Genomic DNA, 25,503 nt, shown 5'->3' with positions numbered 1-25,503 from the left:
CTATTTTTACCCCTAGTTCCACCTCTGCACCAACCAGAGAAAGCCAAATATGTTCCGCAAACCCATCACATAAAATACCCCCGCTTCTAGTAGCCCACCTGCAGCTTTCCCATGCCAACAACTTCCAATCAGAGCATACCGGGGGCTTTTCTTCACTTCTATAAAGCTTTCCCACTCGTCTGCCCCACCTTTGAGCCTCTGACAAAGTGATGGTGAGTGGGACTCCCTTCTACAGCAAACTCTGAATAAATAGCATCTGTTGGTTCTCCTGTGGGTGGGTTTTAGTTTAATTCCACAAGTCAGATCATCTTAATTGAATTATGTAAGATGCTGGTTATGCAGCCCCCACAACTACCACACCCCACGCACAGACGTCTGCGGGGTGGAGACCTAGGGATCTGCATTCTAATCAAGGGCAGCAGGTGATTCTTATGGACAAATAAGAGAATGTGTTGGACCCAAAAGGAAGAAGGATGAAAGTTTAACATCCCAACATCTGGTAAACAGTATAGTTAGAAAAGGAAAGCATATGAGATTTAGTTTCGGGCTTAAGGCTCATCTCTGCCACTTATCCAACATATAGCCTCTCACAAATTACTAAACTTCTCTGATCCTTCGTCTTCAGATCTGTAAAACACAGACAACATGGATACTTTCTCAACCTAACCTAAGGTTATTGGAAAGACAAATTAATAATGAAGCACTTAGGACTTGATATATAAATGTTAGCTACTATAATGAAAGAATATTTACACTTAATTCTGCATCACAACCTTAATTTGGAAATTAGCATCTTCTTAACATTTCTTCAGAAATTATGAACTTCATAGTTAATAGTAATTATAGCTTGCCCTTCATAACTGATAGTGATGCTGTTGTCACTGTTGCCATTCAAGGACACAATTGTGACTGATTGAAGGAGACTTCTCTCCATTTTTGTCACTGAAGTGTAGAGATGGCTGTTTTTGCAGCTATAATTACTGTTTGCCAAGTTTGATGTATAAAAAAATATAGGCTCCATCTAACTTGGAGTAAGGGCTTCTGGAATCATAACTACATGTAATAATAAATGATTCATGAATAATAGAATTCACTATATTCTCATTTATGCAGTTATTTCAGATGGCTGCATGAACCAACTAAAACTCTTGCTTTCATTTCGTGATGTTCCCTGGTTGTGAATTACTACTTAAAAGTGTATATCAGTGTATATTACATATTAGACTATTATACTGCTTCACTTTGCTAAGAGAAGAGCAGGTCCTGAAGGGTATTGCCTGGCATAGTTCCTCTTTACCATGTGCTTATCAAAGAGACCATTGCAAATGCTGATAGATTTGATGCATTCAGAAACATATAATTAGCATTCATAAATCAAATAAATTAATGATACCGTTCAAGAAAACAGATGTGCCATCTGTGGTTCCAAGTCTTAAAGAAATAAAGTGCTGCCATGGAAATGAGACATAAATGATTTGGCAGATACTAAGCTTGGCATGGAGTTAGATGACTTATTGACATCACACTTCAGCTTTCAAAGGACTCCGAGTTCTAAAAATAATGATTTTATTTATAATTTTTACCTTATTAGTACATCTTTCCACTAAGTACAGCCATGCCATTAAATGTTTGATATGCTGTGATATCATTAACAATGTGTGTAGATGATGGGCATAGATAGAACATTTTGTATACTTCATTTACATACTGGATTAAACAAGTTGCTGCCAAGTTAAAAAAAAAAAAAAAAGGCCAGGCCCATTGGCTCACGCCTGTAATCCCAGCACTTTGGGAGACCGAGGCAGGCAGATCATGAGGTCAGGAGTTTAAGACCATCCTGACCAACATGGTGAAACCCCATCTCTACTAAAAATACAAAAATTAGCCAGGTGTGGTGGTATACGCCTATAATCCCAGCCACTCAGGAGGCTGAGGCAGGAGAATCTCTTGAACCTGGGAGGCGGAGGTTACAGTGAGCCAAGATTGCGCCATAGCACTCCAGCCTGGGCGACAGAGTGAGACTCCGTCTCAAAATAAAAAACAATAGTAGGTAAAATGTATAAGGCTACCACATACAGCTTTGCAAATTGTGCACTGCACAATTCCAGCTCATGCAACTTAAGTAGAGTACAGTGTAAACACTGCTCTCAGGAGTTGTATAGTACACAACCAACGCAGGTATCTGTGGCTGCCCTGCAGCCGATGTGTCTTGGTAAAACCTTTTTTGGTATGTTTCCTGTAAAATAAGAAAGTGAACATTCTAATAACTAGGTAAAAATGCTTTTGCAAGTCACAGGTTTCCAATTCCTGGTTTCCAGCAAAAGTGAAAGAGGATTTTTGGCAAATAATTTGGAGGGAATGACAAAATGAATGGCATTACTATAAAAAAGGTTTTTTGTTTGTTTTTTTTTTTTTGAGACGGAGTCTTACTCTGTCACCCAGGCTGGAGTGCAATGGTGTAATCTTGGCTCACTGCAACTGCTGCCTCCCAGGTTCAAGAGATTCTCCTCCCTCAGCCTCCTGATTAGCTGGACTATAGGTGCATGCTACCACGCCCAGTTCATTTTTGTATTTTTAGTAGAGATGGGGTTTTGCCATGTTGGCTAGGCTGGTCTTGAACTCCTGACCTCAGGTGATCCACCTGTCTCAGCCTCCCGAAGTGCTGGGATTACAGGCATGAGCCATCGCGCCCGGCCACTATGATAAAATTTATCTCATTCTTACCTATTTGTCTCTGTGAACATGTTTTCTCAGCGATTATGTCTATAGAAATGTTAAGCAGGAACATTATTGAACCTAAATACTGTCTCATTCCAGCAGTAAGCACTACTTGACTTCATACTCTAAATGAAAGTAGCCCTATTCATCAGATTGAAATAATTTTTAATAATTTTTTACTTTTGATTTAAACATATTTATGTTTAATTAATTATAATAATAATTATAATATTAATTAGACCAGGATTTGTAAAATAACCAAAGATATAAAACCATCAAGGACATACAAATTGTAATTTATACACATTTTTGTCACAGAGAAGGTTAAGAGATTAATAAAAGATATTCAGTATAAAACCATACAGAAAAGTCTTTCTTTTTTTTGGCCTGGCCAAAAATGCTTTCTTTGAATGGTTCCAATATGTATGAATTTTAGTTACCATGGTTTAGTTAAATAACACCTGTCCCCTGAGAACAAGGTTTCAAATTTCAGTTACTGAAGTAAATTAACTCTGAGTAACTGCATAAAATACAAATTTGCTGCTAGCTCCTCAGGTCCATGAATTACTACATTAACAAATGCGCATCCTGATCAGTGACCAATCATGTATCTTCTTTCAAAGTCTGTCAGTGATTGATCTCTGTGCATCTGTCAGTTCACATACAGACAGTAAGGCTTGCAGTTGCATTGTCTCCTTGTCTGCTAGTAAAAAACCCATGTGACATTTTACAAAAATGGGTGATTGAGAAAGGGTATTGACCAACAAGGATGAAAGTATGGCATGGAAATAAAAAGTGACAATACCGCAAATAAAATGTGAAATGGCTGGGCATGGTGGCTTACGCCTGTAATTCCAGCACTTTGGGAGGCCAAGGTAGGCGGATCACCTGAGGTCAGGAGTTCGAGACCAGCCTGGCCAACATGGTGAAACCCTGTGTCTACTAAAAATACAAAAACTAGCCAGGCGTAGTGGTGGGTGCCTGTAATCCCAGCTACTCAGAGACTGAGGCAGGAGAATCACTTGAACCTGGGAGGCGGAGGTTGCAGTGAGCCAAGATTGTGCCATTGCACTTCGGCCTGGGTGACAAGAGCAAAACTCCGTCTAAAAAAATCAACAAAAAAAAAGTGAAATGAACACAATGAGGTTATAGAGGAAATAGCTGACCATGGGAATGTTTACACTACCACCATTGGAGAGAATTCAGATATGCAGCCAGGGAACTTAGTGCAGGTGAACTCATGACATAAGTGAGTCACCTTATGTCTCAAAGGAAGTGATCCTGGCAAAAAACTTCACATTAAAGGAACTCTTGGAGATATTTCACCACATCGAAAATGCAAAGGATAACACATTGGAAGTTGATCCAAACGTAAAACTATGACAGTCCATCAAGGCGTAGAAAGATGAGTACGCCAAATCATAAGTTTTATGACAAGAAGGCAAGAAACTAAGCGAACTACTATTGTTAAGTGTTTACAAAGAAACATAACACTTTATCAATGTTTCTAATGTTTTAAATTGCAGTATACTAAGTAAATATCAGTCTTACCATGTTCTTTATTTCCCTATACATTTTAACGAATAGTAAGAGAGTTCATAATGTTGTGACAAAAAAATGTAAAGGTCATAGGACAATCATAATTTTTCCCATTGATTATTTAGATCACATTATACATTTTCAACTTGTACAGTTATTTTGAAGGTCCTGTATTATTGTGCAAAGTGAGGACTGCCTGTATTTTCAGTGGGACAACCTTCTCTAAGAGAAGTAGAATGGAAGTACGAACTCAAGAAGAAAGAAGACTGAGAACTAAATTTTAAAAATGAGAAAATAAAAACTTCCAATAGTTTTTTTTTCTGAACTCCATGTCTCCTGATTCACAATACAGACGCAGCACAGGGCCTGGGCTGAGGTATATGTGGGGTCGGTTTACTCTGCCTCCTGTTTCTATACAGTCAGCGTAAGAACACAGACCATGGTAAGTACTAGGAAGCCAAAAATTTCCCACTTTTAAAGAACAACTTGTTTATGTATTTTTAAATGAATGACAGTGGTTTTGAACGGCTATATTTAGTTTTTACTAAATAGATTTAAAAGTATTATTTAACAGTCATTATTTATAACATGTTAGAAATTACAACCTTGGCAAATATTTAAACTTGTGATGAAAAGTTTCCAATATCGATTTAAAAATATGGAAGTGAGTACATAGTTTTTCAAACTTATTAGATTTGAAAGACCACTGATCTGGTCCCAAAACAGGAATTAGCCTATTACTGTTTGAGGGAGTATTATTACTATTTAAAAGATAGCAGTTTATTTGAGAATATGTTTCTGTGCCACAGAGCTCAATCCCAGATAAAATTAATACAAGACAGAAGGATAATAAACTAGGGCTTTTTCCATTATAAGCGATGGAGAAAGAATACAAGTAAGAGCATTGGCTCAACTAACCCAAGAAAGACTGATATTATTCTATAAGTCAGAGATTAAAGCTCGCCAAAGACTTCCTGGCTCATTCAGTAAAAGCCAGAGTACTTATAACAGGCTCCTGGATCCCCACATCCAGCTCTGCTTTGCCTCTCACCAGGAGGCGGTGCCTCAGGGCTTTCTCCGGGCTTTGCTACTAGCTATTCCTTTCGCCTGGACTGCTCTTTTCCCAGCTACCACTACAGGACTGGCTCTCTCACCTCCATTAGGATTTTTTTTTTTAATTTTCTTTTTTTTTTTTTTGAGACAGAGTCTTGCTCTGTCACCCAGGCTGGAGTACAATGGTGTGATATCAGCTCACTGCAACCTCTGCCTCCCAGGTTCAAGTGATTCTCCTGCCTAGGCCTCCCGAGTAGCTGGGATTACAGGTACATGCCACCACACCCAGCTAATTGTTGTATTTTAGTAGAGATAGGGTTTTGCCATGTTGGTCAGGCTGGTCTCGAACATGTGACCTCCAGTGATCCTCCCACTTCGGCCTCCGAGAGTGCTGGGATTACAGGCATGAGCCACTGCACCCTGCCTTTTTAAAATTTTTGTGGGTTCATAGTACGTGTATATATTTATAGGGTACGTGAGATACTTTGATGCAGACATGCAATGTGTAATAATCACATCATGGTAAATGGGGTATCCATCACCTCAAGCATCTATCCTTTGTGTTACAAACAATCCAATTATACTCTTTTAGTTATTTGAAAATGTATAATTATTATTGGCTATAGTCACCCTGTTGTGCTAGCAAATACTAGGTCCTATTTATTCTTTTAAACTAGTTTTTGTACCAATTAAACATCCCCACAGTCCCCCACTACCCTTCCCAGCCCCTGGTAAACTTCCTTCTACTTTCTATCTCAATTGTTTTAATTTTTAGCTCCCACAAATAAGTGAGAACATGTGATGTTTGTCTTTCTGTGCCTGGCTTATTTCACTTAATATAATGACATTCCAGTTCTATCCATGTTGCTGCGAATGACAGGATCTCGTTCTTTTTTACAGCTGAATAGTACTTCATTGTGTATATGTACCATGTTTTCTTTATCCATTCATCTATAGATAGACACTTAGGTTACTTCCAAATCTTGGCTATTGTGAACAATGGTGCAACAAACATGAGAGTGCAGATGTCTCTTTAATGTACTGATTTCTTTCTTTTGGGTATATACCCAGCAGCAGTACCCAGCAGCAGGATTGCTGGATCACACGGTAGTTCTATTTTTAAGAGTTTTTAAAGAAAGGGTCTTTCTCTTTCACCCAAGCTGGAGAGCAATGGCATGATTACAGCTAACTTCAGCCTCGACTATAGCCTCGGGCGATTTTCCCTGATTCTCCCACCTCAGCCTCCCAGGTAGCTGAAACTAAAGGCATGCACCACCATACCTGGCTAATTTTTGTATTTTTAGTAGAGACAAGGTTTCGCCATGTTGGCCAGGCTGGTCTTGAACTCCTGGCCTCAAGTGATCCACCCACCTCAGCCTCCCAAATTGTTGGGATTATAGGTGAGAACCACCCCGCCCTGCCTAATTGTAGTTTTGATTTGCATTTCTCTGATGATCAATGATGTTGAGCACCTTTTCATATGCCTGTTTGCCATTTGTATGTCTCATTTTGAGAGATGTCTATTCAGATCTTTTGCTCATTTTTAAATCGGACTATTAGATTTTTTCCTATAGAGTTGTTTGAGCAACTTATATATTCTGGTTATTGATCTCTTGTCAGATGGATAGTTTGCAAATATTCTCTCCCATTCTGTGGAGTGTCTCTTCACTTTGTTGATTGTTTCCTTTGGTGTGCAGAAGCTTTTTAACTTGATGTGATCCCACTTATCCATTTTTGCTTTAGTTGTCTGTGCTTGTGGGGTTCCATCAGGTTTTTGCTCAAATGCCACCTTCCCAGCAATTCCTTCTTTTACCAATGTGTTCAAAATGATTTTGCAGCCGGGCATGGTGGCTCATGCCTGTAATCCCAGTGCTTTGGGAAGTGGAGTCGGCCGGATCACCTGAGGTCAGAAATTCAAGACCAGCCTGGCCAACATGGTGAAACCCCATCTCTACTAACAATACAAAAATTAGCTGGGCGTTGTGGTGCATGCCTGTAGTCCCAGCTACTCAGGAGGCTGAGGCAGGAGAATCACTTGAACCCGGGAGGTGGAGGTTGCAGTGAGCCAAGACTGCACTACTGCACTTCAGCCTGGGCAACAGAGCAAGGCTCTGTCTCAAAAAAAAAAAAAAAAAAAAAAAAGATTTTGCTACTACAATTTGCTATTCTCTATTCCCCTTCCCTGCTTTATTTTAATCCATAGTACTTATTACCATTTATATTATGTATTTTGCTTATTGCGTTTCTCCCACTAGAATGTTAGCTCCGTGAAAGCAGTGATTTTCATGTTTTCCTCATTGCTATATATAGTTCAAAACATGTAACAGATGCTCAAGAAATATATATTGTGGCTGGGCATGGTGGCTCATGCCTGAAATCCCAGCATTTTGGGAGGCTGAGGCGGGTGGATCATGAGGTCAGGAGAGCGAGACCATCCTGGCTAACATGGTCAAACCCCATTTCTACTAAAAATACAAAAAATTAGCCGGGCTTAGTGGCACGCACCTGTAGTCCCAGCTACTTGGGAGGCGTGAGGCAGGAGAATCGCTTGAACCAGGGAGGTTGAGGTTGCAGTGAGCCGAGATCGTGCCACTGCACTCTAGCCTGGGCAGCAGAGTGAGACTACGTCTCAAAAAACAAACAAACAAACAAACAAATATTTGTTGTGTAAATGAAAACGACTGGATTAAGAGTAAGACTCAGTTTCTTTAAAAACTTGCTCAAGGGCACATAGTTGTTTAAGAAATTGCAAAAGTGACTTAATCCACAGACTCTGCCCTCCTGCAGCATATGGTCTAAAAGTTTTGTGCTGTTTTTCATTTTTCAAATTCAAAGCATTGGGTTTATCCATCCCTTCATTTTCATTCCCTCTGATATCACTCTTATCCAGGTCTTTATCACTTCTCATCTGGTTTACTGCAAGATGTTTCTGTCTCAGTCTCTCTATTTCCCTCTGAAGTTGTATACCATCTTTAATCCTCCCCAAACACCATTTTCCTCACATCACATCCCCCCACCCAATTTTTTTTTTTTTTTTTTTTGACACAGAATGTCGCTCTTGTAGCCCAGGCTGGAGTGCAGTGGCATGATCTCAGCTCACGGCAACCTCCACCTCCCGGGTTCAAGTGATTCTCCCGCCTCAGCTTCCCAAAGTGCTGGGATTACAAGTGTGCGCCACCACGCCTGGCTAATTTTTGAATTAGGGGTTTCACCATGTTGGCCAGGCTTGTCTCGAACTCCTGACCTCAGGTGATCTACCTGCCTCCACCTCCCAAAGTGCTGGGATTACAGGTGTGAGCCACCGTGCCCGGCCATATCACTTCCCTTTACTTGCTCGTAAGTGCTACCAAGAAAAAGTTCAAACTCCTCTAATCGGGTTTCAAACCAGACCATAAATTGGCCAAATTCCACTTACAAAGCTTTATTCTGCTACTCCCCGGTTTAAACCCTTAACTTCATCAAGCCAGCCCCCTCATCACTACCTGATGAACAATCTGTGCTCACTCCCATTTCAGTTCATATTGTTTCCATCATCTGGAAAGTTCTGTGGAGTCCTTTTCATCTATCCGAATGCTTCTTATCCTTTAAGGCAGGGGTGTCCAATCTTTTGGGTTCCCTGGGTCACACTGGAAGAAGAACCGTCTTGGGCCACATAGAAAATACACTAACACTAATGATAGCTGATGAGCTAAAAAAAACAAAAGCAAATAACTCTCATAATGTTTTAACATAATTTACAAATTTGTGTTGGGCCACATTCAAAGCAATCCTGGGCCACTTGCAGCCCACGGGCATGGGTTGGATAAGCTTGCTTTAAGGCATGGACCACTGTCTACCTCTTTCATAAGGCTTCTCTTATTTTACAATTAACTGATTGATTACAAAACTCAATGCTTTGTAATCATCTTTTCCTCTCAAGTACTTTTGTTAGTGTGATGATTACTAAGATGTTTATGAAGCATATCTTGGTATTATGTATTATATATGTTCACATCCCACCTCTTCAATCAAATTGTAAATTCTTTGAAGGACATCATTCTTCGTAAGATATAATCCTACACTTCTTATACTTCCACAGTTTATTTTGTTTTTTGCACATAGTAGGTACCCAAAAATATTTGTTGAATGAAGTATTTTCAATACTAAAAATTGTGGAACACGATAGTGTTCTGGATTTAAATGTGAAAAGAGCTAAGTTGTCAATAAATCCCCCAAAGAATATACTTTCATATTGAACTGAGGATAATAAAATATTGCTTAAATTTGGTGGTGAAAAGAGTTGTGATTTTGGTACATGTCTTAGTCCTTTTTGGAATTGCTATAAGAAAATACCTGGCCAGGCGTGGTGGCTCACGCCTGTAATCCCAGCACTTTGGGAGGCCGAAGTGGATGGATCACCTGAGGTCAGGAGTTCGAGACCAGCCTGGCCAACATGGTGAAACCCCATCTCTACTAAAAATACAAAAAAATTAGCCAGGGGTGGTGGTGTGTGCCTGTAGTTGCAGCTACTTGGGAGGTTGAGGCAGGAGAATCGCTCGAACCCGGGAGGCGCAGGTTGCAGTGAGCCAAGGTCCTGCCGCTGCAATCCAGCCTGGGCAACAGAGCAAGACTCCATCTCAAAAAAAAGAGGGGAGGGGAGGGAAGGGAGGGAAAGGAGAGGAGGAGAAGGAAGGGAAGGGGAGGGGAGGGGAGGGGAGGGGAGGGGAGGGGAGGACCGAGACTGGCTAATTTGGCTAATTTATAAAGAAAAGAAATTGATTGGCGGGGCACTGTGGCTCAAGCCTGTAATCCCAGCACTTTGGGAGGCCAAGGCGGGCGGATCACAAGGTCAGGAGATCGAGACCATCCTGGCTAACACGGTGAAACCCCGTCTCTACTAAAAATACAAAAATTAGCCGGGCACGGTGGCGGGCGCCTGTAGTCCCAGCTACTCGGGAGGCCGAGGCAGGAGAATGGCGTGAACCCAGGAGGCAGAGCTTGCAGTGAGCCGAGATCGGGCCACTGCACTCCAGCCTGGGTGACAGAGCGAGACTCCGTCTCAAAAAAAAAAAAAAGAAAAGAAAAGAAATAGATTTTGTCACAGTTCCGGAGACTGAGAAGTACAAGACCACGGTGCTGACAGGTTTGATTGTCTGGTGAGGGCTGCTTTCTCCTTCTGAGATGGCCCTTATTGCTACATCCTTCAGAGGAGAGGAATGCTGTGTCCTCTCAAGGTGGAAGGCCATCCTTTACATGGTGGAAGCTAGCTTAGTGCTGTGTGAAACCTCTTTTGAAAGGGCCTTAATCCCATTCACGAGTGGAGAAGCCCTCATGACCTAATCACTTCCTGAAAGCCCTACCTCTTTTTTTTTTTTTTTTTTTTTTTTTTTTTTTTTTTTTTTTTTTGAGGCAGAGTCTCGCTCTGTTGCCCAGGCTGGAGTGCAGTGGCGCGATCTCGGCTCACTGCAAGCTCCGCCTCCCGGGTTCACACCATTCTCCTGCCTCAGCCTCCCCAGTACCTGGGACTACAGGCGCCTGCCACAACGCTCGGCTAATTTTTTCTATTTTCAGTAGAGACGGGGTTTCATCCTGTTAGCCAGGATGGTCTCCATCTCCTGACCTCGTGATCCGCCCGCCTTGGCCTCCCAAAGCGTTGGGATTACAGGCGTGAGCCACCGCACCAGGCCTAATCCCTCCCTCTTAATGCTATCACATCAACCATTGAGTTTCAACACCTGAATTTTGGAGAGAACACATTCAAACCATAGCAGTATGTAATAAAATCCAGAGTATAACTGTAGAGTGGCAGAAAAAATGTGAATGAGCAAGGTTTCCATTTTACACTGATTATAAATGTCCATGCAGCAACCAGTATTTAGTTTAATTGTAAATATTTTTTTGGTATTTGTTTAGCTACACGACTGAAAATTTATTATTTAGATATAAATGAGAAACTAATTTTTTTTGCTAAGTAACATCTTCCGTAAACAATGGGAGTTTTGGAGAATTCTGTTTTGGGAAACATCCATGTTAATATTTTGTTTCCATATGAACCATCATCACACAGACATTATTTTGTACAACACAAACAAGTAGAATAGATTTAGCTTTTGGCTCAGAACATATTGTTCCATATGCCCTGCAGAGCACATCTAAAAATCTATGTGACGAGACCAAATCTGTACACAAAAATGAAAAAATTAGTCAGGCATTGTGGCACATATCTGTGGTCCTAGCTACACAGCAGGCTGAGGTGGGTGGATCACTTGAGCCCAGGAGGTTGAGGCTGCAGTGAGCCGTGTTTATATCACTGCACTCCAGCCTAAGTGACAGACAGAGATCCTGTCTCTAAAAAAATCTATTTACAACGTAACTACCACACTGTCCACCTAAAAAAGAAATCCAACAGGTTACACAAAATGTAGGGTATTAGGTAAAAGGGTTTGGTCAATTCATTATTAACCACATGTCCTCTACAACTGTTCTCATCTGAAGATGTACTTTGGGGTTATTAGGTCAATAATGGACTCTTCCATCTTCTAAAAAAAAAAAAAAAAAAAAAAAAGCATTATCCAGTATCGAGTAGTGAGGTTGCTATAAAGTCCAACACCGCTCACATTATTAACAGAGTCACTGTACCCCATCTCATGGTGTACCTCATCTGTACCTCATCTCATCAATCTATCGGCTGTCCCTTAAAGGAGTTTGTAAGACTGTAAAGAGAAATATCTAATTCTTCTTCAGGGCTAGTTTCAACCAGGATCTAAAACATTCAAATGCTGTAAAAGTAAACGGATATCAAATATAGCATTAAAAAACAAGGAGAATAGAGATATGATTATAGCTTGTGCTACAAAAGACTTTTAAAAGCAGATTTAAGGCTGGGCGTGGTGGCTCATGCCTGTAATCCCAGCACTTTGGGAGGCCAAGGTGGGTGGATCACCTGAGGTCAGGAGTTCGAGACCAGTCTGGCCAATATGGTGAAACCCCATCTCTACTAAAAATACAAAAACTAGCCAGGCGTGGTGGCATGGGCCTGTAATCCCAGCTACTCAGGAGGCTGAGGCAGGAGAATCGCTTGAACCTGGGAGGCAAAGGTTGCAGTGAGCCGAGATTGCACCATTGCACTCCAGCCTGGGTGACAGAACAAAACTCCATCTCAAAAAAAAAAAAAAAAAGCAGATTTAAGTGAATAGATGTAGCCATAATACATATATAATACCTAGGTAGGAAAGTAATCTAATGTGTACTTGACACAAGAAGTATCTAGCACAAGAAGTAAAAGTAGGCATTACCAAAAAAATGCCTAACTTTTGACTGAGTTAGGCATCAAAAATATTTGTTAAACGCTCAAATGATGATTGCTATGCTGTGACAAGGCTATGAACTTGATAACAAAAATTTTTTATAGGAAAGAGAAGCCATTATTTAATATATACATACAGTATGTACAATTGCTGTAACTTCACTTGATCCGCAAGTGGACTTTTAAGCATTAAGTAAGTGGGTTCTCAAATAAGGGCAATTTTATTGTGCAGGAGATATGTGGCAGTATCTGGAGACATTTTTAGTTGTTATAACTTGAGGTGGGGGGAGCAACTGCTCTGCTCTGCTATTGAGTAGAGGTCAGAGATGCTGCTAAATATCCTACACTGCACAGGAAGCTCTTTCCCCATCCTCCTCCACCAAAGAAATTATCTAGCCTCAAATGCCTATGGTACCAAAGTTGAGAAAGCCTGCATTCAGTCACATAGTATACCAGGTCCTATTCTAACAGTTTATTTCTGTGTCTAGTACTTCCTCTTTGGGGTAGGCACAGGAGCTGGGGTAGGTTATTCTTGGCAGGTTATTCTGTGGCAGGTAAGCTTGAAAGTCATCACATTCGGCTGCTTATTTAGACAGGATGGTTGGACTCAATTTTAAGGGTTGAATTGACTTTCAGATTATTTCAGTGGCACCCAGACTTGACCTATGGGCCAGTCAAGATTGCTTTCAGGTTCTTAATGTCTTTATAGGAAATGGTGCTAGACTCAGCAGGATGAGTTAATCAAGAGGCATCTAAGTATATGAAGTATTTGTAGTATCAATGCACAATTTAGTTATGTCCTGTGAGCATTCCTGGAAAAAGGGTACACTACCTCACTGTATGGTAAACATACCTGATGCAATAACTGAAGCATAACTGAGAATGCCCTCTATGGCAGATGAACCTGAATGCACGTGGAAGTTCCAAGCTATCTGGGAGTGGCCAACCTGGAGAGCCATTCCTTGTCTATGAGAAACATCTGAGTCCCCAGCCCCTCTCATGGAACTTGCCACTACATTGAGGCCCTTTGGTTTTTTATCCTTTTTTTTTTTTTTTTTTTTTTTTTTTGAGACGGAGTCTCACTCTGTCGCCCAGGCTGGAGTGCAGTGGCGCGATCCCGGCTCACTGCAAGCTCCGCCTCCCGAGTTCACGCCATTCTCCTGCCTCAGCCTCCCAAGTAGCTGGGACTACAGGCACCCGCCACCACACCCAGCTAATTTTTTTGCGTTTTTAGTGGAGACGGGGTTTCACCCTGTTAGCCAGGATGATCTCGATCTCCTGACCTCGTGATCTGCCTGCCTCGGCCTCCCAAAGTGCTGGGATTACAGGCATGAGCCATCGCGCCCGGCCACATTGAGGCCCTTTGTTTTGGGTTAAATGGAGGTTGCCAGGTGGAGGTTGTTAGGGGGAGGGTGCTAGGTGAAAATGGTATATAAACTGTATGTGTTTTGCAAGCAGTTGCAGTTCTTCTGCCCAGCCCGCCATCACTGGGCTATGCAGATATCCTGTCCGGCCTGCCGCCACTGCACACTGTCCCCTGTAGGTAAGCCTCCAGTGAAACCCCATGTCTTGTTTGCTGGCTCTGGGTCTCTTCTTCTGTCTCCCAAACACAGTGCCATCACTATTAGGTTAATACGGGTCCAGTACAACACTCACAATTCTGTGGATTGCTACTACTTAGGGTTGTGGGAAAGAGGTTATTTAAAAAACTTTTTTAACAAAGCACATTTCACTGGAATATACTATGCTACTGAATGTGTGGTTCAGGGAGTAGCATCAACATAACCTGTGGATATGTTAGAAAGGCAGAATCTCAAGTCCCACCCCAGGCTTATTGAAAGAGAACTGGCATTTTAACATGATTCCCAGAGAAATACCATCCTAATACATTGATGGGAAATAAAAAAAAGGAAGAGAGGAGAAAGATAATGCTTATAAGAGGAAAATGAAAAGGATAATCAGTGACTTGACCCTTGCATACAGTACTTTGTCTGGTTCAGGGACAATTTTGAAGGTCAGAGAGGACCTGTGAGTAGGTCAGAGGAGAGTTATGAAAATAAAAATAGGCCAGGCATGGTGGGTCATGCCTGTAATCCCAGCAATTTGGGAGGCCTAGGCGGGTGGATCACTTCAGGTTGGGAGTTTAAGACCAGCCTGACCAACATGGAGAGACCATGTCTCTACTAAAAATAAAAAAAATTAGCCAGGCACGGTGGTGCATGCCTGTAATCCCACCTACTTGGGAGGTTGAGGCAGGAGAATCGTTTGAACCCCAGAGGCAGAGGTTGCGGTGAGCCAATATCGTGCCAGATAAGGAAATTACCTCAAAGACAAGAAAACTAAGCAATATGTAAAGTTCAAGTCTACAATCTAATATGATAAGAAATGGCAAACAAGGCTGTAAGAAATATGGCTGCATTTTGGTCAAGGATAGGCCAAAGTAGGATGTTTACATCCTGTGTGACTCAGTGAGTTTAGAGCACAGGCGTATAACTCCACTTGTTATCACAGCCATGTAGTCAAAACACGGGAAGGCCATCACTTGGCTCTACGCCACTATTGTCTGTAAAAGCTATAAATGCCCTGTTGACACTGTGCAGGCATGCTGGCACCCAGAGAAAGACAGAGTCAGAGCTGTCTGTCTTTGCAGACGGCCATGCAGCTGCAGGTGTGGGGGCTGCTGAATAAAGCCATGTCTCATCTACCTGCTGTCTCTCTAGTGTTCTTCCAGTTTCCTGCCCCACATCCACCCACTCCCCTCAGCCCTCAGCTGGGGCTGGAACCTAACCCTGAGCATACTTGGTGTAGTCAGCAGGATGAGGTGAGTAGGTCTTCAGCCCCTGAGGCTCCCGGGTTGGCTATGTGGCCACAGCATGGGCTGTGGTACCCCGTGGCAGAGATGCTGCTCGGGTAGGCCCCAGTGGAAACGTGGGAGGCAGTGAATGGGTCTCCCATGAGTGTGGAGAAGCATCTGGAAGCTCACAGCACCAAGAAGGAATGACCTTTGCCGGCAGAGTCGGATGGGCGTTTCTGATTCAGTCAGAAACTGAGTTTCATGCTCAGTCCCTGCAGGACACAGCACAGGTAAGGGACTTTCAGGCACAAGCCCAGTGCCCGGGAGCCCAAATGCACAGCTTGGAGCAAAACCTGGGGCGGGGTGGGGGGGTGGGGTGTGTGGAGAGGGACCTCCATGTGCAAGCAGGGCGCTTAGAGGCCCAGATAAACAACCTGGAACAGGAGTTAGCAACAGCTGTCAGCGCGACCTTCAGCCAGTCCTCCTGGCCGGACACTCCCATTGGGTCTGATGCTGAGGAGGAGGCAGCTTCTCTGCTGCGGGCTCGCCCTGTGATCCATCAGAAGATAGACCATGAGCAGCTGATGGGACCCCAGGGGAGAGCCCAGGGACCCCCACCCCTATCCCCTGGCCACACAGTGGTGGAACACACCTCTTATAGTGTTTATACCCCCACTGAGTTGCAGGAATTAGGTAAACAGTGTCGGCAGTATCCTAGGGAACTGACAGCATTTCTTGCTCTGCCTCTGAGAGGGAGAAGCTGGATTCTATCACAACTCATCCCTCCCTTCATCAGCAGCTGCAGCTGTGTGGACAGTTAGCACAAGGGCAGGATGACCACACGTTAATCGAGTGGCTAATGGCAGCCATATGGACTGTTTGGAATGACGCCAGAAAGATACCAGAAACTGTGAGTAAATGGCAGTCATATACTAATTTGGTGCAGATACTCTGAGAGCTGGGTATGCAGCAGGCTGTTTGATCTAAACACCCGGGGACCAGATGATGAACACTTTACCTCGCACATGAGGAGTCTTGTGCTGGGCTCATTGCCCCCGAGTGCTTTTGACTCTCTAGCTGCTGTTCTCACCCCATATGTGGGGTGCCACATACATGAAGTGACTACTGTTATGGCAGTCCTGGGGGAGGCAGAAGGCATCAGCTGGACCGGGGAACCCGTGCCAGAAAGAAGGGGAAGGTGCCCCCTCCGCAGATAACCATCCCATGTGATAAAAAGCAGCCTGGCAGGTGACCTGCATGCAGATGTGGATTGATTTACTTGCAGCTGGGGTTGCTCCGGAGAAAACTAACAGGCAACCCAATGGAATGCTCTTGGCTCTTTGGAGGCAACTGTCCCCAGAGCAGCAATTCCGGAGAATGCTTAAATGGGGGGTGAAGCAATGTTGTTCAACCCACTCCCGCCTGGACACCGCAACTCAAGGACTGTTTGCAGACAGGCGGAGATATGGAGCCTTTCTTGTTTGATTAGGGAACTGGCTGAGATATGCAGCTCGGTGTGGGGAACCAGACAACCAGAGGCTGTATGTGGTGCTAGTAATCCGCTGGTCCCCGACTAATGTACAGTGGGTCACAGCGGGTCCTAGCACTGGTAGATACTGGTGCAGACTGCAGCCTAGTTTATGGGAACCCGGATAAGTTTTCTGGCAGAGCTGCATTTATTACCAGCTATGAAAGCTGGTCAGTGAAAGTGAAACCTGTGTCTCTTTATCTTGGCATCAGCCACTTGGCTCTCCGCCTATACACTGTGTATGTCTCTCTCATACCTGAATATATTCTGGCAGTGGACATTTTGCATGGTCTGGACTTGCACACCATGGCTGGAGAATTCAGGCTCTGAGTTAGTGCAGTAAAGCTGATACTGCAGGGACAATACACATCACCAGCCCAAGCTCTGCCACAACCCCAACAGGATACCTCCACTCATCAATACTGTTTGTCAGGGGGGCATACAGCCATAACTGAGACTATTCAGAAGTTAGAGGAGGTGCAAATAGTGCATGGCACCCATAGCCCCTACAATTCCCTGGTATGGCCAGTCAGAAAGCCTGATGGAACTGGGCGAATACCAGTGGATTATCGGGAACTGAATAAAGTAACACCCTCTCAGCATGCAGCTGTACCCTCCATCATGGATTTGATGAACCGCTTGACAACGGAACTGGGACAGTACTACTCTGTGATGAATGTGAATAATGCATTCTTCTCCACTGACATTGCTCCAGAGAGCCACGAACAGCTTGCCTTCATGGGAGGATGACAATGGACTTTCACAGTGTTGCTGCAGGGCTAGATGCATAGCCCCACCATGTGTCATCGTTTTATTGATAATGTCATATTAACCTCCGATTATCTTGCAGATTTGAAAGCGACAATGCCCCTCTTGCCTGGGATTGGATGGTGAGGTTGAGACAGCTGTCCTGGCTATCTCAAGCAGGCTATTTAGCAGGCACAAGCCCTATGGGTAGTTGATCAGAGGTGCCCATTTAGGCTAGATGTGCATGTGACCACAGATAGTTTCAGTTAGGGCCTATAGCAGTGCACGGAGTGCTTGAGTATGCCAGTAGGCTTTTGGCCCCAACTATGGAGCTGAGCTTGTCTTTATTGATAGAGAAGCAGTTAGTAATAGCAGGATGGGTATGTTCATGGATAATGACCCCCTGGACTGGGAAGCAGTTAGTAACTGCATATGCTGCCCTTCAGACTCATAAGAGCATGGCAGAACAGGCTACAGTCATCATGCAGATGACTTACCCAATAGCAGGATGGCTGCTACGTTCATGGGTAGCGACCCTTCCAGACTGGGACAGCACAGACTGGGACAGCACTTTATCAAAGTGGGGCACCTACTTAGAGCAGTGAAGTACACTGAATACAAGTCCCTTAGCAGCAGAGTTACAAGAGGTCTTAGGGCCTGTAGTCCTCATGCAAGATAAGGCCATGGAGCCTGAGGCACCCCCGGCCCCATTCCTGATGAGGCATAATATATAGACAGGTCTAGCCAGAGTACTGCTGCTGCCTGGATTGCTGCTGCAGTCCAGCCTACTACTGACATTATATGGTTTGATACCAAGAGTGGGCAAAGTAGCTAATAAGTTGAGCTCAGGGCAACACGGATGAGGATCACCAAGGAGGTGACACCCATGGTAATCTACACCAATGCTGGGCAGTTTATCAACGCTTAACATTGTGGTTAATTACCTGAAAGTTACAGAATTAGTTAGTCACCAGCCCATGTAGGGCCAGGCCATGTGGCCAGATCTATGAGAGGAAGGATGACCCTCTCCAACCAGGTATGGGGACAAACGGCAATCTGTTATTGCCTGCCCCAATGCCCCTAAAGGTAGGGAAACAAACAAACAAACAAAACCTGGTGTTAGCCATGGACCCTCCAAGCCCCTCACTGCAGATGGTTGGCTATCATAGCCCCCTTGGGGGAGGGTCTGCAGTATGACTTATATGTTATTCCCTGGGTATTTAATGTGTGGCCTCCATGATTGACTGTTCGTAGGGGAATAGCCAGGAAAGGAACCCTCCTCTGGTGGGGGGAACATATGTACTGTCTGTGTGGCCTATTATGAGCTCCCTTGTGACTTTGGCATGGATACAGGACCCAAAAGAACCACAAGCAGCTGATAAGGTGTGGTACCATCACCCAGGGCAGAAGCCCTTGGCAGCTACATTGTTATCTAGAGATAAAAGTTGGCTTGCATTTGGCCTAAGGGACATGATTTACCCTTGTTAGTATCTGTGCCTACTTTGTCATTCTGGCCGTAGGTTGGCATGCTCCAACTGCATTGTGGACTGGGCCCACACCTACGCTGAGGTGACCAATGTCTCCAACTGTTGGATCTGTACTACCCTTCCAGCAGCAGCTGTGGATGGCTTGCCCTGGCACATGCACCCAGCTTCTGTGAAAAACTGGACACGACTAGAAACTTGTGGTTCCACAGACAATTGGTGGGATGCAACACGGCAGGCTTTGGACAGGGGGTGTCGCAAAACCCATGGCAAGCCTGCCCCCTGGCTGACTCGTAGTGTCTATGATGGGTGGGGCTGGCTAATGGGAGAACACGTGGTGCCCCCATCGCAGGTACCACGATGCATAGAGCAGCACTGGGGTGAAGTCACTGTGGGATGGTGGCCTGCTGAGGTTTGTGCAAACATAACATGTCACCACACCAAGGGTGTTGTGGAACAAGCGGCCTTACCAAGGCTGGGCTCCAATGGACTTTGTGCCCCCTGAGAGTTTATGGGTCTGTGGGGCCCATAAACCAAATGGCGATATCTACCAGCCAATTGGACTGGATGTTTTACTTGGGGGTGGTTTTCTGTGCCTGCCACTGTGCTTCCCACATTGCCTAGTTGCCCGAATAACTGGGAGGCACTGCGTTCCCAGTTTTTGCCACCCTCTGGTGGCTCCACCCCTTAGCAATAACTATCCCTGGAGCAGGTGTCGTTACTATAGAAATGCAAGTTACAGCCCTTGCAGAGCACACAGCTCGGGCCCTGAATTACACCCGAGTTGCTCTCCTTTTGCTAACTGATGAGGTTGATCAGATCAGGAAGGTGGTGCTGCAAAATCGGATGGCCTTAAACATAGTCACAGTTGCTCAGGGTGGCACCTGTGCCCTTGGAGGGACACAATTTTGTACATTTATCCCTGACATCCACTAGAACATAATGGTAGCTTTACAAGGGGTGTCACAGGAGATTAAGGCTATTGAGCACCTTACTGATGACCCTCTGCAGAGACAGTGGGTGCCTCTGGGCACTACCCTATGCTGGGCTCTAATAATCATAGGTAACGTAACAGGAATATTTATAGTAGGTTGTTGTTCTCTGTATTGTTGTTGTGACCTATGAGTTCAGGGTGCTGCCCTATGTGCATGGATCCCCACTAAAAGAACTCCCTCATTCCAGGGGGTGGAATGTAAGGCCTGTGTGCCAAGCCTGTTTATCAAACTCGTGTGCCCAAAACTTATGTATAAGGCCTTGTGTGTGTATATCAAGCCTATGTACCCAAAGCTTATGCATATAACCTGTATCCAAGGCCTATGTCTCCCTTGGCCTAGGGGGTGGAGTGTAAGGAACATGGCTGTGCTTTGGTTAAGGATAGGCCGAGGTAGGATGTTTACATCCTGTGTGACTCAGCAGGTTTAGAGCGCAGGCATATAACTCCACTTGTTATCACAGCCATGTAGCCATACATGGGAAGGCCATCAGTTGGCTCTATGCCACTATTGTCTGTAAAATGTATGATTGCCCTGTTGACGTTGTGCTGGTGCACTGGGAGAGAGAGTCAGAGCCGTCCTTTGCAGACAGACGGTGGGGGAGCCAGGACACAGCTTGGCTCACTTGTGCCCAGAGAAACAGTTAAGCTACTGACCCTGAAGCCAAGGGAGAGCTGGCCATGCAGCTGCAGGTGTGGGGGCTGCTGAATAAGGCCATGTCTCATCTACCTGGTGTCTCTCGAGTGTTCTTCCAGCTCCCTGCCCCACATCCACCCACTCCCTCAGCCCTCAGTTGGGCTGGAACCTGACACTGAACACGACAAAGGCTGACCCCCAAATGGTTTTAAATTACAGTAAAACAAAAACCTCCTTCTAAAGGCCTTAAAAATTGGATAATGACTTAGTTTCATTCAAAGGATAGATTTTAAAAGCCCCTTATAGCCATAGCCAGACCTAGAGACCACTCAAATCCATAATGATACTGGAATTATAGAATTTTAGAACTGGAAAGTATTTAGGGGGATAAAAATCCATTAATCTAGTCATTTTACAGAAAATAAAATGAGTTCCAGAAAAGTGAAATTATTTACAAAAGTCACACAGCTAATTAGCTATTAGAGCTAGGACTAGAATTTAGTTATCTTGACTCAAGATAACCTGCTTTTGAAGTATCCTTTTATTACTTAGTTCTGTGACCTTGCTGAGATTTTCTTATATAAAAGATTGGAAATATGTAAATATTTAAATTTTATTCTTAAATACTATTTATTAATACAGAGAAATACTCCTGCTATAATTTTAAGTGACACAATAGTACAACAATTGTTAAGAACAATCCACCTGTGTCAAAGAGACACATACACAAACACACATCCATATACACATACAAGCTTGGAGAAAATTCTGAAAGGATCTCATTGTCCTAGATGGTGGCATTATGGGCAATTATTTTGCAAATGTCACCCAGTGAAGAAGCAATGGTGCCTTTGGAAAGTATGTAGCTCTTAGTTAAGCTTTTATCTGGAAGGTGCTGGAGAAGGTCTGGGCACAGAGCTGGTTGGCTCCATGGTTTTGTGACCTGTGCCATCACATAGGACCCCATGTTCAGAAGGACCCCACTCTTGGTTTAATGCTCTGCTGCCGTGTCTTGAAATTCTTAATAATTTTTTTGAACAAGGGATGCTGCATTTTCACTGTGTTCTGGGCCTAATGATTATGTAGTCAATCTTGTCTGGCAGCTCTTCTCTGGCCCATTCACTGGTAGATGATTGTGGGGTGGTTATTTCTTTAAATTTTTCATTTAAAAAAAATCATATTCATATTATTAAAAATTAAAAAATAGATTTGCAGAAAAATTAGATCACCCTTAGAACTCTCAAGGGCAGATACATTTTAACTAGCATCTCTTCACACATCACAATGATGCTTGGTGTTTAGTCTGAAGGATAAAAAACAATTCAGTATTTTATAGTATAAATTGCTAAACACATAATTACAAAAAAAGTATGCCTGTGAAATTAGGCTATCTATTCCTTGAGAGATGGAATTAGATATTAGTTTTCTATTGCCACAAATGTAGCAATTTAAAGCAAGAGTTTATTATCTCCCAGTTTCTGTAGGTCATAAGTAAGGCCATAATGTGACTGGGCTCTCTGCTCAAAGGTCTCACCAAGCTATAATCAAGGTGTCAGCCTGGACTGTGTTTCTCATCTGAGGCTTGAGGTCCTCTTCCAAGATCAAGTGGTTGTTGGCAGAATTCATTTCCTTGCAGGACTGAGGTCCCAGTTTCCTTGCTGGCTGTCATCCAGGAACTGCTCTCAGCTCCTAGAGGTTGCCCACATTCCTTACTACATACCTGCGTCCATCTTTAAGCCAGCAATGGCCTATATGCTTCAACTCTCTGACTTTCTCTTCTGCAACCAGCCAAGAAAATTCTTTGCTTTTAAAAGGCTCATCTGATTAGGGCAGGTCCACCTGGATAATTAGGTCAACTGTGCCATAAAACGTAACCTAGTCAAGGTAGTAGATACATCAAATTTACAGTAACAGGGTGTGTACAGTGGGGGTAAGTCTTGGGGACCATTTTAGAATTCTGCCTACTACAACTGTCCTAAAGAGACTCATGTGACAAACAAGAGGTTTCTATACTCTACTTCTCTATCCAACCCTATCATGACTTTAATAGTCTTTTCAGCCAGGCACAGTGATGCCCACCTGTAATCCCAGCACTTTGGGAGGCTGAGGCAGGAGGATTGCTTGAGATTAGCAGTTTGAGACTAGCCTGAGCAATATAGCGAGAACTTTGTCTCTGCTAAATAAATAAATAAATAAATAAATTGGGCATGGTGGTGTGTCCCTGTATTCCCCCAGCTACTTGGGAGGCTGAGACTGGAAGATTGCTTAAGTCCAGGAGTTTGAGGTTGCAGTGAGCTGTGATTGCATCACTGCACTCCAGCCTGGGCTACAGAGACACTGTCTCCAAAAAAAAAAAAAAAAAAAACAAGTCTTTGCAATTCACATTTAACTCTAACATCTCTATTTTATAAGTGCATGTTTAAGCATAATAAAAACTGGCCATGACAAATTTGCTTATCTTTGGGGAAAACAGAGATCCTTTTGTTTGCAAAGAAAAAGATTTAAAGAAGAATCTTGCATTCAAAAAGCCTAGTTAGTGTATATCAGTATATTTATTTCATTAAGTTTAATACAACCTAATGAGATAATAAGCCATATACTCAATTTAAATGTATATATTTAAAAATGAAGGTTAAGAACATATTATCTAGATACATATAATCAAGTATAAGATTTAGAAAATATTAACACAATATAATGCAAACATTTGTCACAAATATGCGAATGTTAGCATCCTCCCTATATGAAGTACTCAGACAAATAGAGAAGCAGAACACAAGACCCTGCAAATAAATGACCAAAGAACATGCCCAGACATTTAAGAAGTAGTAGAAATGACTTAAGTCGGATCTCAATGAACTCATATTTATTCGGTGTATAGGATGTGTGAGATGCTGGCATATGGCAAGTACAGGGCTGCTATTCAGCCAAAGGCACTGTTAGGGGGGTTTGTGGCCAGCATCCATTCTTATTAGTTGGTGATTATTATCTGATAGGTTGGTGCCTTGGTGCCTTGTAGTGTTTGTTAAATGTTTTGATTATTAGTGAATGTGTGTCAAATGCTTTATCACCTCGTAGTAGGCTAAATAATGGCCACAGAAAGACATCATGTTCTAATCCCTGAAACTTGTAAATGTTGCCTTGTAAGAAAAATGGGTTGCAGATGTGATTAAGGATCTTAAAAATGAGGGGATTATCCTAGATTATCTGGGCGGGTCCTAAATGCAATCCTTATAAGAAAGGGGCAGAGGGGAATTTGATACAGAGAGAAGAGGAGAAAAGAATGTAACTATGAAGGCAGAGATTGGAGTGATGCAGCCATAAGCCAAAGGCCTGTGGCCATCAGAAGGTGGAAGAGGCAAGGAATGAATCCCCCCTAGGGCCCGCGAAGGACCGTGGTCCTATTGACACCTTGATTTCAGCTCAGTGAAACTGTTTTGGACTTTTGGTCTCCAAAACTGTGTTTTAAGTCACCCAGTTTGTAGTAATTTGTTACAGCAGCCACAGTAAATTAATACAATGCCTAATTCAGTAAATCTTCACAATAATCTCAGGAGATAGGGAATTTCATTATCCCCACTTAAAAGAAAACCACAATATTAAGAAGCTATTTATTCAATTCAGAGCTAGAATTCAAATTCAGGTCTTTCTAATTCAGAGTGGAGGTCTTACCACTATGTTGCATTAGAAAATAAAAATGAGATTCCAGAATTACTCTTTCTGGAGGAAGTGGGACTGGACTAATCCTCCCACTGTAAATAATTTAAAAACTGGACAAAAGATATGAAATAACAGTTTTCAAGCATTGGTCAACAAGCAGTACAGAACTGTGGTCCCTGAGAGAGAAGAAACAAATGAGGAGAGCCTTATAATTGCCTGTACTTTTGCCTGGAGACACATTCCAGCCCAAGGTGCGGGGAGGGGGGGATCCCCCAAACAGACCACAGTAGTCTTGTTGAGTTGAAGGAATGGAGATCAGTTTGGGGAGGCAAAAGTGGCTGGAATTTGCAGGGCAGAGTACCAGAAAGGAAGAAGGTAAATCAAGAAAGAGTTCCAGAAATCTGCAAGGGAGGATGTCCCCTTGAGTCTGTGGTTGAATACTAAGATATACTTGTGTAGGATGAAACCCAGTAAGTCTGGGCAGAGAATGACCCTCGGAACTATAAGCTAAACAATTCCCAGAGCTCACACAAAGCTGGAAGACACTTGAGTCCCAATCAGCCCCAGAGAAACACTGGTTTAATCAACTGGGGAGCAAAGAAGAAAAGAGAAAAGACAATACTTACGTAAAAAAGGCGGAAGAAAAAAAAGGATGGCTACATAGAATAGATAGATATATGACAAAACAAGAAGAGTCAAATGTTAATGGTAGAATCTAGATAGTGGGCATATAGGCATATGCTATAAAATTAAAGGGTTAATAAAAGAACATTATGAAAAACATGCTCATAAATTTCACTACTTTGACCAAATGAACAAAGTCCTCAAGTGACACTAGTGGTTTTTAAATGTCCACACATTTTTTTGACTTTCATTCACCCCAAGGTGGTGTCTAATTCTCCTCTTTTTCAGTGTGGGTTAGACTAGTGTTCTATTTTAACAAACAGAATATGGCAGAAGTAATGGTGTGCCACCTTTTTTTTTTTTTGAGACGGAGTCTCAAGCTGTTGCCCAGGCTGGAGTGCAGTGGCGCGATCTCGGCTCACTGCAAGCTCCGCCTCCCAGGT

At 43.2% G+C, this 25,503-nt stretch overlaps 1 protein-coding gene, 1 long non-coding RNA gene and 1 other non-coding gene across 5 annotated transcripts in view; 1 reads left to right on the top strand and 2 right to left on the bottom strand.

Moving 5' to 3' along the window:
• Nucleotides 1–25,503, bottom strand: part of PHOSPHO2-KLHL23 (PHOSPHO2-KLHL23 readthrough) — a 57,410-nt gene that overhangs the window by 19,291 nt on the left and 12,616 nt on the right. The gene's annotated exons all lie outside the window — the stretch shown is intronic.
• LOC124900531 (small nucleolar RNA SNORA51) lies at nt 4,585–4,716 on the bottom strand. Its single transcript, XR_007088724.1, has one exon. It is a non-coding gene; the product is annotated as a small nucleolar RNA SNORA51 (small nucleolar RNA).
• On the top strand, nt 15,198–25,219 carry LOC124906089 (uncharacterized). Of its 2 annotated transcripts, none has more exons than XR_007087288.1 (2): nt 15,198–15,679; nt 16,186–25,219. It is a non-coding gene; the product is annotated as an uncharacterized LOC124906089 (long non-coding RNA). The 2 variants fall into 2 exon arrangements; XR_007087289.1 differs by having other exon boundaries at nt 16,141–25,219.

Source organism: Homo sapiens, chromosome 2 (assembly GCF_000001405.40).
Source record: "Homo sapiens chromosome 2, GRCh38.p14 Primary Assembly".
In the NCBI taxonomy this organism is placed as follows: Eukaryota; Metazoa; Chordata; class Mammalia; order Primates; family Hominidae; genus Homo; species Homo sapiens.
The sequence above is the reverse complement of the archived record's forward strand: the minus strand, read 5'-3'. Positions and strand labels throughout refer to the sequence as shown.